The 14,590-nt window shown below is 43.3% G+C and overlaps 1 protein-coding gene across 3 annotated transcripts in view; it reads right to left on the reverse strand.

Moving 5' to 3' along the window:
- The window catches only part of SLIT3 (slit guidance ligand 3), a 639,400-nt gene that overhangs the window by 586,824 nt on the left and 37,986 nt on the right, over positions 1-14,590 (reverse strand). For all 3 annotated transcript variants that reach the window (NM_003062.4, NM_001271946.2, XM_017009779.1), the window contains exon 2: positions 2,825-2,896. In NM_003062.4, coding sequence (NP_003053.2) covers positions 2,825-2,896 — 72 coding nt within the window. The remainder of the gene's footprint in view (positions 1-2,824; positions 2,897-14,590) is intronic.

A 14,590-nucleotide genomic window follows, 5' to 3' on the forward strand; every position in this document is an offset into this window, starting at 1 on the left:
CATGGCTGGAGTCTGTTCTGAATTAGAACAGAGCCTGTGTTCATTTTCAGCTTTTTTGGCATTGTTATTTTTTTAGCTTTAGCACTGGATCAGGATCGGAAATCGCCCCCCATGTGATGACGGCTGGGGTGGAGTTTAACTTTTTTATTAACCCCATTTGGGATAAAGCTGGCTCCCACATTGTGAGCATAGCAGAGCCCTTAGACTGCCAAGAAATGGGACATAATTGATACCACCAGAAGAGACTTTTTCCTACTCCCATCCCATGGGAGAAAAAAAAATGTCCTGGGCAATTCTTCTATCTTCTCCTTAAATGCTCTTCATTTGGGGAAAATTGCCCTGGGTTGAGACTGAAGTTCCTCAATCTCCATTTTATCTGCTTTTGCCCATATTAACAGTTTGACACAGAAACTGTTGGGTGGCCAATTTTTCAAGACTACTGAATCTTTTCTAGCTTCTCTAGAAATTGTAAATAAGAAACAGATATGGGGAATGTGCCAAGGTGTGAAAAAAATCTTTTTAAAAAAGATAGTTGTCTAGGTTACTCAGCTAAAAAGAATCGATTGAGGAAAAATATGGTAAAAATGTCTGGATATTTTATTGGTGTTAGTTAGAAAGCATTTCAGCTATTCCACCAGGCAGATTCTTTCACAGTAATAAAGGGCCACTTGAATGGGATTGTCTTTGAGTTGATAAGGAAGATAATGAAACAGAGTATATTAATAGTCTACTGGGGGATGGGGGGTAGGGGAAGGCTTTTTGGCATTGCTTATCAAAATAAGAGGAATGTACCAATTAACTGAAAAGATAAACTGTAGTCAAAGGAATGTTGTAGACCATCCAGGGGATATTAAAACAATCTTTTGTGATTATTTTAAACTTTCTATTTGCAGAAAGCAGATATGAAAATTGGAGTTTTTATTAGTCTTTCTGATGTAACGCTAAGAAAATCAAGGGTTGTTTTTGACTTTGTTAGAAAATGAAGCATTAGGTGAAATATAAAAGGAAATCTCTCACAGATGCAGGGGAAATAAATAAAAAAAAATAAAGTGAGAAGGTAAACAAGCATCTATTTTTTAACCTGGCAAATGACATAGAATCAAGAGTTGCTACCTATACCTCTTCAATAACAATCGCCCTAAAACTGAACCATGGAATTCCCCCACCCTGATCTCAGTCTCGATTCTGATCCACGCACACCTTGTCAGAACTACCAGTTACTTGACAGATACATGGCTGCTGGGGCAAAAGACTTGGCACAGGGTGTGCCTTCCCTTTGAGGGTGGTGAGAGGAGAGTGTTTGAGACCAAAGACGGAGAACATGTCGGTGTGGAGAGCATCTGCAAGCTGGAGTCCCAGGATTCAGATTCCCCATGTCCCCACACATGTGTACATAACAGAAACTCTGACAAGCCCCCACATTATCAGTGCTGCATTTACAAAATGGGTAGACTATCATTGTCTTAGTTTTCTTAGCTTTCTATAATGTGAATACACAGTGGCACTGCATGGAGGTTAGAAAGCACAGAGTCTAGGTTCCAATTCCAACTCCTTCAGTCACCTGCTATGTAGAGTTGGGTCTACTTAACCTATCCGCACCTCTGGTTTCCTCTGCTACAAATAGGGGCTCATAATAATGCCCCACCTTTTTGTTACCACTATGTAATACTGTGCTGAGCCCATGAAAGTATCATATCCATCATCATTATTACTAACAACTCAATCAGAAATGGCAAACAATGTTGTAAAATTAACGCTTCACAAGTAATCACAAAAATAATCAGAAAATGTTAAAACAATGAAGCACTACACGTGTAACTATGAGAGTTGAAAATACTTCTAACAACGTATTCCCTATACTGCAGATGAGAAAACTGAGGCCCAAGGAGGAAAAATAATTTGCCCAAGGTTTCATGGGTAGCTAATTCCGAATCAGGACCAGAGCCTGGTACTTTCTGAACCAAATACAAAATTCATTATATTTATTATATAGGGCTATTAGTAAAAAGAAGGTAGCTTCAGGTACCAAGACTTTAGCTGTCACTTCTAGTAACAATTTGCCAGCTAAGATTCCATGGCATACAAATACCAAGGCAGTGGCCAATTGGCCCAGTCTGTACTTCTTGCATGGAGCCACACTTATGGGTCAAAATTAACTACCAAGTAAAGATGGAAAATAAAATCTAAATTGCTTTTTCCTGTACCTCTGAATGTCTTAGACTTTTTGACAGACAAGCACTTGGGAAGTTTCTTATCACTCACAGACTTAAGGATTGATGAAAGTGTTCAATATTCAGCAATGAAACCTAATATTCCTTGCTCCTCTAGTCCATCAATGCCCATTTCAAATTTTGCTACCTGTCTGCACAGCTGTGGGTGTTCAGCAAGGGCCCTGACCCTTTCTGATGCTCTCCTCCCCTCCTCTCCATTAAGCTACAAGACAGATAACTTTTGTCCTGATTGCTCTTTTAATGCACAGGCTGGAGAAGAAATTATCATCTCTATGAAAGGGAAGCATGGTTAGTCAACCTGACATCGCTGTCATCCTAGAAGCTGGGCATGGTGATTTATTTGTTCATAGCCTTCCACTTTCCCTATCACTGGAACTAAGTTCTTCCATCGATCTAGCTCAGCCAGCAGCATCTAGACACAGAATGTGATACCTGTAAGCATGTGGGTACGCTAACGAGGGGCTTTCTGCTGCAGAATGGTGAATTCCTGTTGTCCAGGGCTTGGGAGTGTGATGTCAGGGGCAGTGGAACATTTTTTTGTGAGGCTGAAGAGCTAAAAATGAAAACACACTTGAGAGCCATCAACTACTTACAAGACTCGGAGGTTCTTGAGCCCAGCGAAGTCCATCTTGGTGATCCTGGTGATATTATTTCTGTCCAGGTCACTGCAATGGAGAGCAAATTCAGGTCAGATTTTTGTGGGTTACAATTACGGTCTATTTAATCCAGACTGGCTTGGACTGAAGGGATGTTGCTTGTCCAGAAGGCGGCAATTCTGATGATTAACGATATCCCTTGAGCGTGCCCGGCTAACCTTAAGGATATTGTATGGAATAAACCATTCATTATGCACATAGCAGAACTCTTTTATATGTAACTGCCTGCCTTCTGTGGTCCCTTCTTTAGGTAACAAATTTTTCTGTTGAAGTTTCCCCTCCCCCAACTCTCAGATCATGTCATACAAATGGGGCTGACCCCTCTTTCCAGCTCTAGGCACTGGCATCTGATCCAGGCCAGGCTGATAAGTATCTTCAGTTTTCCTGACCACAGCAAATGTTTCAGAAATGCCTAAATGACTCAAAATCCCAATAACTGTTTATCTACTGGGATTGCTAAGCTGTTCAGGGTAGCCAGAAGCCATCTCACCGCCACAAAAACAGTGAGCAGATGGTGCTCTCCTGTGAATGTCCAGACTCACTCATGCCTGAAGCCAGATACCTCTGTATTTTGAGAGTGTATGACCCATTCTATCCCATCTCTCCTATATTTTGATTTAAACCAGTTTGAGTTGAATTTTCTATCACTTGAAATCAAAAGAATTTGCCTGACTTTGGTATGTAGCTAGAAACCAACAAACAAGACAAAAATTGTCTATTTTCCAGCTACTTTGCAAACTCCCTGAGGGCAAAGGCCACATCTCATTTAACTCCATACCCAACATAGTAGATAGAGTATGTGCTTGGCACCCAGTAGAGGTAACTTAACTCATTTCACATGTTAGGTAAAGACATTTGCATGGATTACTCCTGCCTCAATTTATAGGCTTAAGCTCCTGAATATAGCCCCAAAGAGAAGGATTTGCCATAGAAGAGCTGAAGTGGTGGCGGTGATATTGAAGTGAGGGTGGAGGGCAGCATGGATGATGGAAAAACAGTTAAGAAAAACTGAAGTCACGAACAAGCCTGTGAACAACTGCATGAATATTCCGTGTTCACTAAAATAATCTAACAAGACTGAACGCCAAAAAAAGGAACCATGAATAATATGCTACAGTTCTCAATAATGGATGCTGAATAATTGATCCCTACAGATTCTGCCCTCTTTAACCCTCACTTTTCAGGGTTTTGGCCCTTGGAGTTTCAACAAGGTATCTGTGAATTGTCTTTTCTTTCTGAACATTTATATACTAAGAGCCATTTTTCCAATGATGAATCCCCATCCAAACATTCATCTCTTCGGTTTTCCTAGTTGCTTCCTAAAGATGCCACCCTGCAATTATGCCTCCTTTATACAGTTGCATAAAATGAACAGGAAAGGCATTTTCAGATTCCAGCACTTTATATATATATAAAAAATTCAAGTTTGAGGAGGGATTAATCTCCTGGTATCAGACATAATACTGAAATAAAAATCAAGTGAGTCCTTGAGTAACCTCACACAGGTACCTCCTCCTTTCCTCCTTGAGTTTTCCAATACCTAAAACAGCATCAAAGTTGTTTCTGAACTAGCTTGTGATGGAGAAAAGCAGTATTTAGACTTCTCTGGCTAATCTGAGTGCTGGTTTAGAAGAAAAAAAAAAAAGCATAGCAAGAATTACCCAGGAAAATAAAGAAGGGTTATCCATGCAGGGATGGGAAACCTGCAGACAGAAATCTGTACACACTCCAAAGCATCACACGTGTTCTTCTTACCTCCCATCTGAATTCAGATGGATGTTTGGGGACCTTGACAACTGTGAATATGACAATGCAACCAAGGGTTTAATTACCAGGACACAGCATGGTATCTCAGCAGCTTGTGCCAGCATCTGCAGCACTAATATTTTGAATATTTATTATGTCAAAGCACACAAAGTGCACTGCTGAAATGCTAAGGATGTGGCGGGGGGCAGAAGGTGTGCTGTGGGACTGTCCCCGGCACAGAGTTAGTGTTTGGGAGCTGAGCTTCAGAGGCAGGCAGTCCTGAGCTTGAATCCCTGTCCTGCCACTTACTGAGTGATCTAATGGCAGTGCACTTCATCTCTGAGGTGCGGTTTCTCCATTTACAAATGAGGCTGACAATCTTGACCTCAGGAGCTTTGATGAGGGTTAAATGAGATGATGTACACACAGCACTTATCTGGCACTTGTTAAGTACTCAATCATGGCAGCTATTACTGTAATTAGTTGAAGCGCATCTCTCCCATCTCAACTTTGAAATTTCAGTTCACCAGCAGAAGCTGACAGCCCCATACCCCAAACTTTGTGCCCACGGATGAATCCTGGGGTCCCCAAGACACTCCTTGTTGGTGTGCTCTCTTCCTACGGGTAAAAAAAGGCATCTATTTTGTGGCTGACAAATAGAATAATGGGGCCAAGGGTACTCCCCCAGCCCACTGCCTGTCCTTCGCAGCATTTCTGTGACCTCTATTTCCTTAGTATCTAAGTGCAAGTGACACAGGGGCTACGGAGGAGGGATGGGCTCTCCCCTCCCACTGAGCTGTGCTGCCTGCCTCTGCCCACCTCCCAAACACACATACTGCCAGGAAGGCCAGGGAGCACGTGGGCTTTGAGGTGAGATACCTCTAGCCCCCAACTCCACACAGCTGGGTCTGGGTGAGTTTGAGTAACTTACTTACATTCTCTGGGCCTGCATGCTTTGTAGGAGCTTTGTCTCCTACTTGCAGGCCATAGGATGATGAGAAACACAAAGCTGGGGATTCAACACACGCGGTTAGAAATGGGAATGGATTACACTGACCCTGAGGAGAGGCTGCCTGTCCCAAGGCCAGCCCCCACTGTCCCGGCCCAGGCTCCTCCAGACCTTTATGACCTTCAGCTCTGGCCTCAAGGGAGTCAGTGTATGTCAGCCTGGGATGGGTTCTGAACTGTCAGCAGGAGGGGTGATCCTGGATGGGGGCCAAGGACAGTGTCCAGATGTGGATGTGGGAAGTGTGGTGGTCTCCAAACATGTCTGCCATTTCTTTCTTTCTTTTTTTTTTTTAAATACACTTGCTATCAAGAGATGGTGTCTATGCCAATTTCCCTTGAACTTGAGCAGGCTTTGAGACTGCTGGACAAACAAGACTGTGGCAGAAATGATGCTGCAGAGCTTCTGAGGCTAGCTTAGAAGAGGCAATAGGGGAGGGGCTTGCTCTCTCGCTCCCCTCACTTGTACTGCAGCCTTGAGCTGCCATATGAGAAAAGCAGATGATCTGAAGCCTCCATGCTGGTGAAACCACATGGAGGAAGAGGATGAGGATGAGGGAGAGATGCCAGCCCTGGCTTGAGTCTTTCCAGCCCAGAGGTCAGGCACATTAGGTGCAGATACCTTTGGGACTCAGCCTCAGCCACCATCTGGTTATAACTTATGAGAAACTCTAAGCCAGAATCGCCCAGCTGAATGAACCACTCTTGAAATCCTGACCCACAGAAGCTGTAAGAGATAATACAGTCATGTAACATATAGCAATGTTTCAGTCAATGAGGATGGCATATCTGATGGTGGTCCCATAAGATCATAACGGAGCTGAAAAATTCCTAGTGACATCATAACACAACATATCACTCACATGTTTATGTGACGCTGGTGAAAACAAATCTACTGCACTGCCAGTTGTATGCAAGTACAGCACATGCAGTTATGTACAGTACCTAATACTTGATAATAATAAGTGACTGTGTTACTGGTATTTACTATGCCATACTGTTATCACTATTTTAGAGCATACTCCTTCTACTTATTTTAAAAAATAGTTAATGGTAAAACAGCTTCACGCATGTCCTTGAGGAGGTATTCCAGAGGAAGGCATTGTTATCATAAGAGATGACAGCTCCATGTGTGTTACTGCCCTTGAAGACTTACCAGTGGGACAAGATGTGGAGGCAGAAGACAGTGAGATGGATGATCCTGACCCTGTGTAGACCTAGGCTAATGTGCGTGCTTGTGTCTTAGTTTTTAATAAAAAAGTTTAAAAAGTAAAAAAAGTTTATAAAATAAGCATACAAGGGAAGAAAATATTTTTGTATACCTATACAGTTTGCGTTTTAAGCTAAGTGTTATTACGAAGGAATAAAAAAAAATTAAAAGTTTATAAAGTTAAAAAGTTGGCAGGGCGCAGTGGCTCAAGCCTGTAATCCCAGCACTTTGGGAGGCCAAGCCGGGCGGATCACAAGGTCAAGAGATCGAGACCATCCTGGCTAACACGGTGAAACCCCGTCTCTACTAAAAATACAAAAAATTAGCCGAGCGTGGTGGCGGGTGCCTGTTGTCCCAGCTACTCAGGAGGCTGAGGCAGGAGAATGGTGTGAACCCGGGAGGCAGAGCTTGCAGTGAGCCGAGATCGCGCCACTGCACTCCAGCCTGGGCGACAGAGCAAGACTCTGTCCCTCAAAAAAAAGTTATATAGTAAGCTAAGGTTAATTTACTATTGAAGAAATGTACAAATATTTAGCATAGCCTAAGTGTACAGTGTTTGTCAAGTCAACAGTAGTGAATAGTAATGTCCTAGGCCTTCATATTCACCCACCACTCACTCACTGACTCTCCTGGAGCAACTTCCAGTCCTGCAAGCTCCATTCATGGTAAGTACCTATTTAGGTATACTATTTTTTTTTTATCTTTTATACCGTATCTTTATTTTTGTGCCTTTCTTTTCTATGTCTGATATTTAGCCAGTCATGGTGATATACACCTATAGTCCCAGCCACTTAGGAGGCTGAGGTAGGAGGATTGCTTGAGCAATCCAGGAGTTCAAGACTGGACTGGGCAACATAGCAAGACCCTGTCTCTTAAAAGAACAACAACAAAACAGTAGATATATCTAGATACACAAATACTCACCATTGCTCAGCATTGTCTTACAACTGCCTATAGTATTCAGTGGAGTAACCTGCTGTGCGGGTTTATAGCCTAGAAGCAATAGGCTATACCCATATCTCCTATGTGTGTAGTAGGCTAGACCATCTAGGTTTGTGCAAGTGCACTCATGACTTTCACGCAACAACGAAATTGCCAAGGACACATTTCTCAGAATGTATCCCTGTCGTTAAACACACATTACTGTACCAAAGTGACCACTGTGTCTTAACGCATGAAGTTTTGGGGTGATTCATTTTATAACAATAGAGAGGTGGAACAGAAAGGAGGAGAAAGCCACCTTCTGAATACACAATATTTACCATTAGCAATGGAACCCCATTCACATGGCTTTTGGTGGCAAGGCCTTTCTGAGACTTTTGTGCCACCTCTGAGAACCTCAGTCCTGTCATTATGGTCAAGGATGGCTCATGGGGGCAGAAGGCTCCCGAGTTATTGTGGGAACGAGGTGAGAACTGTTCCTTCTCTCAAGCTCAAAGGAGAAAAGACTGCATAATTAGAGATGCCCCTCCCTCCAAGTAGGGCTTAGGATACCATGGGAATCACCTATGATGTTAGGTTACTAATCACAGTAATGATTATCATTCATTGAGCATTGTGGCAGACTGGTGAGTTGTTTTGAGTTGTGCTCAAGACAGAGGGAAAAAGGTTTCATGGACAACTCACCAGTCTGCCACAATGCTCTATGAATGATAATCGTGGACAACTCACCAGCCTGAGCATACAGATAGATTACATTTCCTAGCTTTCTTTGCATGTATGTGCAACCATGTGACTGAATTCTCATCACGATTACAGGAGCACAAGTACTATATGCTGCCTTCAGGCCTGAGGAATAAAACTTTCTGCCCCATCCTTTACACTGTCTTCTCTCATCTTGGGTGGGATTCAGTAGATACACTGGAGGATCCCAGGGATGGGAAACTGAAAGAACCCGAGTCCCTGAATGACTGCATGAAACAGAGGCCTCTCCTCCTTTGGATCCCCACAGCCCCCCACCCCAACCTCCCCGCCCCCACCCCGCCCCACAACCATTTACACACATTAAACTCAGACCTATTCAAGAAATAACTCCTAAACCACTGAAATGTGGAAACTATTTGTTATGGCAGTCTACGCTGACAAATAAAATATCTTTGATACAATAGCTTTCTATGCCTCCTTTTTTTTTTTTTTTTTTTTTTTTTTTTTTTGAGACGGTGTCTCCCTCTGTCACCCGGGCTGGAGTGCAGTGGCACGATCTTGGCTCACTGCAACCTCCGCTTCCTGGGTTCAAGCGATTCTCCTTCTCCTGCCTCAGCCTCCCAAGTAACTGGGATTACAGGTGCCTGCCACCACGCCTGGCTAATTTTTTTGCATTTTTAGTAGAGATGGGGTTTCACCATGTTGGCCAGGCTGTTCTCAAACTCCTGACCTCAGGTGATCTGCCCACCTTGGCCTCCCAAAGTGCTAAAATTATAGGCATGAGCCACCATGCCCAGCCTTCCATGCTTTCTTCTTCTTCTCTTTGCAACAGTTCTGAAAGGTAGGTAATCTTACTTCAACGAATTAAAATGCTGTAGATCAGCCTTAATAAAAGCTGATATTTGCTGGACCCATACTACGCACCAGGTACTGTGCTGAGGACTTTGTGTTCATTTATCTAATCCAGACAGCAACCATATATGGTAGGTACTATTACCTCATTTTTCACATGAGGAAGCTGAAGTTTAGTTTCCCCCATCCCCACCCTAAGCTTAGAAGATTTTTACCAATAAAGAAATTTGACATGAGTTCACATACCAGGGAAGTGGGTAATGCTGAGATTTGAACCTGGGCTCTCTGAATGCAAAGGCCATAGTTTCACTTATCACATCCTACTGCTCATTTACCATTAGAGCATTTTTTTTATACTGCATCAGGTTATCCACTGAATTTTTTAAAAGAATGCATAAATAAATGCACAAACAAACATAATAGAATTTCCCACTCCCGTGCCTTGGAGAAAAACAAAGACATACCCTTAGTAACTTTGCTTCCCCCACTCCAGCTAACAGAGCACATTTCCTACCCTGTCTCCCAGTGAAGTCCTGGCCAAGGGAAGTGGCTGAGCCCCTCTGCAAGCTCAAGGAGGAAGAGCTTTCTTGCTGTGTTTACCCCTGTCTGGTTTTGGTCATGTTGCTCAGCATCTGCCATGTTGCCTCTATAAACAGGCATCACCATGGTAATTTGGATTGTTTTTCCCCATCCCAATCAGTGAATCATAAACCAATGCTGCGACTTGGAGCTTTGTGGTATTTTCACATCTGTTTGACACCTTGGGTGGGGTAGGGAGAAAGAAGAATTCAGAACAACACTGGAAAAAATGAAACAAAAATGACATTTTCTAGGTCAGGCCACTGGCCTTATCTTGGCACATGTATATCCATACCCTTCTTTTTATTCATTCTGTGGCATTCCTGCAAAATTTTCTTCCAGCTGTGGCACATCTGGGAAGAGCAAGGAGTGAAAAAACAGCCCTCAGTGAAAGCATAGTGTGGGGAAAAGGGCTTCAATTATAAATTCAAATGGTGTGGATTTGAATCTCAACCTTTTCACTCCTTAGCTATGTGGCTTTGAGAAAGGCACTTAACTTTATGGAACTCCCATTGTTGTTGCTGTGACTTTTGTAAAACATGACCCAAAATACCACGTCTGTCAGATCACCATGAGGCTCAATTGAGAAAGTACTTTTTTTTTGGAGACAGAGTCTTGCTCTCTTGCTCAGGCTGAAGGGCAGTGGCTCAATCTCACCTCACTGCAACCTCCACCTCCCAGGTTCAAGTGATCCTCCCGAGTAGCTGGGATTACAGGTGCCATCACCACATCTGGCTAATTTTTGTATTTTTAGTAGAGACGGGGTTTCACCAGGTTGGCCAGGCTGGTCTCGAACTCCTGACCTCAGGTGATCCAACCGCCTCAGCCTCCCAAAGTGCTGGGATTACAGGCGTGAGCCATGGCACCTGGCCAAGGAAGTACTTTCTAAACAGCATTCAGAGTGGTTAATTTTTCACCCACGGGCTACAACAGGTAGGGAGAGGATGCAATGGTGTAGCTTGGGATAGACTTTTAAAAAGATGTTCATCTGTGATAGTGAGATCTGTGATAGTTAGGGAGCACACCATTGCTCAGACCAGACTTTTAAGACTACCTGTCCCCTGTACACTGAGTATTTACAGAATACTGCCTTCTGGGTTTCAGGAAAGAAGATCAGGTCTCAACATGAAGTAAACCTGTAGGGGCTACCATACAATGCAGTTATTCCTTATTACAAGGCTATGCAGGCAAAATTAACTCATGTTGGGCATGATGTCTAGGAGATCCTTGTGATGGGTAGGAGGCTGAACTACATGACCTATGGAGTCCTGTCAATAACTCTGTAATTGTCATCTTTTGGGAGCCCAGAGCCAAATGAATTTTTAGAAAATGAAATATAGCTTGGTCCTTGTTTTCAAGGAGCCTGGAGTCTAGCTGAGGATGAGCTAAGACTCAGGAGATTCTTAGAGAACAAGGCAAGAATTTGCAAAATGAAACGTTAAGGGATGTGGTCTAAACACCAAGGGGAGTAGACAAGCAGGAAGTCAGAGAGAAGACCTCCTGCTCCTGAATAAACCTTTCAATGTGTGACGCCTCCACATTCAAGTTCCCACAGCATAGCTATCTCAATGGATTGTTCACTCAGTTACAGATTGAAGTAGTTGTTCTACTCTTTCCCCTCCTTCTCACAACTGCACTTGAGTAGTCTTAAAAAAAATAAACAACTTTAAAAAAAAAAATCCCATAGTGTGATTTGAGGACTCCTACTCAGGAAAGGGGTAAGAGGAGCCAGAATTAAGAGGCCCCCATAGCACTTCCTGACCCTTCATTTACCACCAGCAAAGAGGTTCCAACCAAATCAGAACAAGTTGGCAAGGAAGCAGTGGCCTCAGTTTCAGTTATGCACTCACTACGCTTTCCACCTGAATGGGCCACATCACAGAAAGGGCAAGGTTCTGTGCTTTTTCTCTTCCCTATGAGCTAAGCAGGGGATGCAGGAAGGATCAGACCGAGGACGGGGTATTCGTCCTCCCTGAGAGCTCACCCACGTTAGCTAGTTTTGCCAACAAAGGTTACAGTTCGTCTTTATGACTGTCCATTTCTTGGTTCCAGGACACTTTTCTTCCTATTTCTTCTGGCTTAGAGGTGATAATTGCTCCATTGCTTCTATGGTCTTGGGTTCTACAGTATCTCTCTGAAACATACCCACACCTCTGAAATGATCCCTGTGTAAATAAATCAACTCTCCTGGAATATTCCTAATTTGAATTTTCTACCTGTTTTCTATTTCTTACTGATACACCATTCATTCATTCATTCAACAAGTCTTCATCATTAAGTTTCAGGAATTGTGCTAAATGCTGGTATATAGCTATAAACAATAGTGGCGTGGTCTCTGCCCATAAGAAACTCAGAGTTTAGAGAGGAAGAAATAAAGGAGTAATTACCATAGACTATGATAAACGCTGTATACCATAGGTTGGCAACCTTTTTCTTTAAAGGCCAGATAGTAAATAATTTGGGTTCTGCCAGTCATGTTTTCTATCACAACTATTCAACTCAGCTTTGTAGTGTGAGAGTAGCCTTAGACAATATATAAATAAATGAGTATGGCTGTGTGCCAATAAAACTTTATTTACGAAGACAGACTGAAGGCTGGATTTGGCCCAGGGGCTGTCGTTTATAGACTCCTGCTCTCTACTATGCCAGAGGCATAAACAAAAGCTTACAGAAGAGTATGGAGGAAGGAGTATGGAGTAATTGGGGTGTAGGGTCGGGGGAGGCATCCAGGAACAGGTGACATTTTAATTGAGACCTCAAGAAAGAGTTGGCTATATTCAGGTTGGCATAGGAATATTCAAGAGAGAGAAAAAGAATTTTAGGTTTAAAAACAAAAAACAAAAAAAAACCCCAGCATGTATAAAAGCCCAGAGGCATTGCCTCAGGATAACTGCCAGCAGATTTATTTGGCTGTTAAAGCATGTTTCAAGAGAAACACAGATCTTTCTTCCCTTCCTTCTTTCTTCTTTTCTTTCCTTATTTTCTTCTTTCCTTTCCTCCCTCTCTCTCCTTTCCTTAATTCCTTCCTTCCTTCCCTCCCCATCTCCTTTCCTTTTTTTAAAATCCCTCCCTCCTTTCCTTGCTTCTTTTCTTCCTACAACAAACTTTTATTAAACACCTACTCCAGACCTGGCACTATGCTGATGGCTAAGGATAGACAGTAAAACAATAGCAAAGAAGTTCCTTTTAAGGAACTTTTATTTCTTTGCTGAATGCCGCAGACAGATTCTAAGGTGGTCCCCAGTATCAACACCTTCCCCTCTCCTTGAGTGGGCAGAACCTAGAGACCTGCTTCTAACCCATGCAACACAAAAAAGGTGGTCGGATGTCACCTTTGTGACATGTTACATGGGACGGCAATGCCCGTCTTGCTATAGGACTCTTTCTCTTGCTGGCTGTGATGAAGCAGGTGGCCATGTTTGGGAGGCCCACATGCCAAGGAACTGGAGGCAGCCTCTACCCACAACCAACCAAGAATTCAAGACAACCAGCAGGAACCTGAAGCCTTCTAATAGACTGCAAGGAACTGAATTATCCCAATAACCTTGAGAGCTTGGAAGCAGGTCCTTCTCCAGTTGAGCCTTGAGATGAGATCACAACCTCAACCAAACCCTTGTGTGCAGCCTTATGAAACCCTGAAGCAGAGGGCCGAGACAAATGGAAGGTGCTGAATGCCTGTTGTTTTAAGCCACGAAGTTTGCTATCATTATATGACAATAAAAAACACAGGGGGAGATAGGCCACCACAAATAAACAAGGAGACTACAGACTGCAATATGGGCATAGCTAGGAAACAGTACAGGGTGAGGTGAAGAGAATAAAGATATGGTGAGAGGCAGTGAAGGCACTGCCCTCCCTAGGGTGTCCAGGAAGAACCTCTCTTAGAGAGTGAGATTTGGTCTGAGACTAGAAGGAAAAGAAGGATCCAGTTGAAGGACAGGCTGAAGGGAGACGTTTCCAGGTGGAAGAATGGAAACAAAAAGGTCCAGGTGACGGCAGCAGAGTGACACCAAATGGGATCACAGAGGCAGGTGGTGTCCAGGCTGTGAGGCATCTATGGGGCTGACAACATGCTTGGGGACTGGAACCATAAAAGGGGCCGAGCAAGGAAACCACCAATTTAAGAGCCCTCAGCCTCATTCCCCTGCCATCAATCCTGCCAGATTAATTTCCCCCAAATGTCAATTTCATTCCACAGCTCAATAAGAAGGGGGTTCTCATTACTGCCCTCAGCTTGCCTCATTTAATTCTTTCTTCTTTATAGCCACAGACATGTATTGAGCACCTATCAGATCCAGGAACTGTGCTAGGCACTTCATTGGCACATATGTTCCTGCTGTCTGTATGCTGGCCTCAGAAGCCCTCAAAGTCCTGCGTCCATTTAAATCCTACTGCTCTGTTATGGGCTGAATTGTGTGCCTCAAAAGATATATTGAAGTCCTAACCCCAGCTACCTATGAGTGTGATCGTATTTGAAAGTAGGGTCTTTGCAGATGTAATCAGGTTAAATTGAGGTCATTAGGGTGGACCCTAATCCAATAGGACTGGTGTCCTTATTAGAAGAGGAGACAGGGCTGAGCAAAGTGGCTCACACCTATAATCCCAGCACTTTGGGAGGCTGATGCAGAAGGATTACTTGAGGCCAGAAGGGAGTTTGAGACCAGCCT

Source organism: Homo sapiens, chromosome 5 (genome assembly GCF_000001405.40).
Source record: "Homo sapiens chromosome 5, GRCh38.p14 Primary Assembly".
Taxonomy (NCBI): domain Eukaryota; kingdom Metazoa; phylum Chordata; class Mammalia; order Primates; family Hominidae; genus Homo; species Homo sapiens.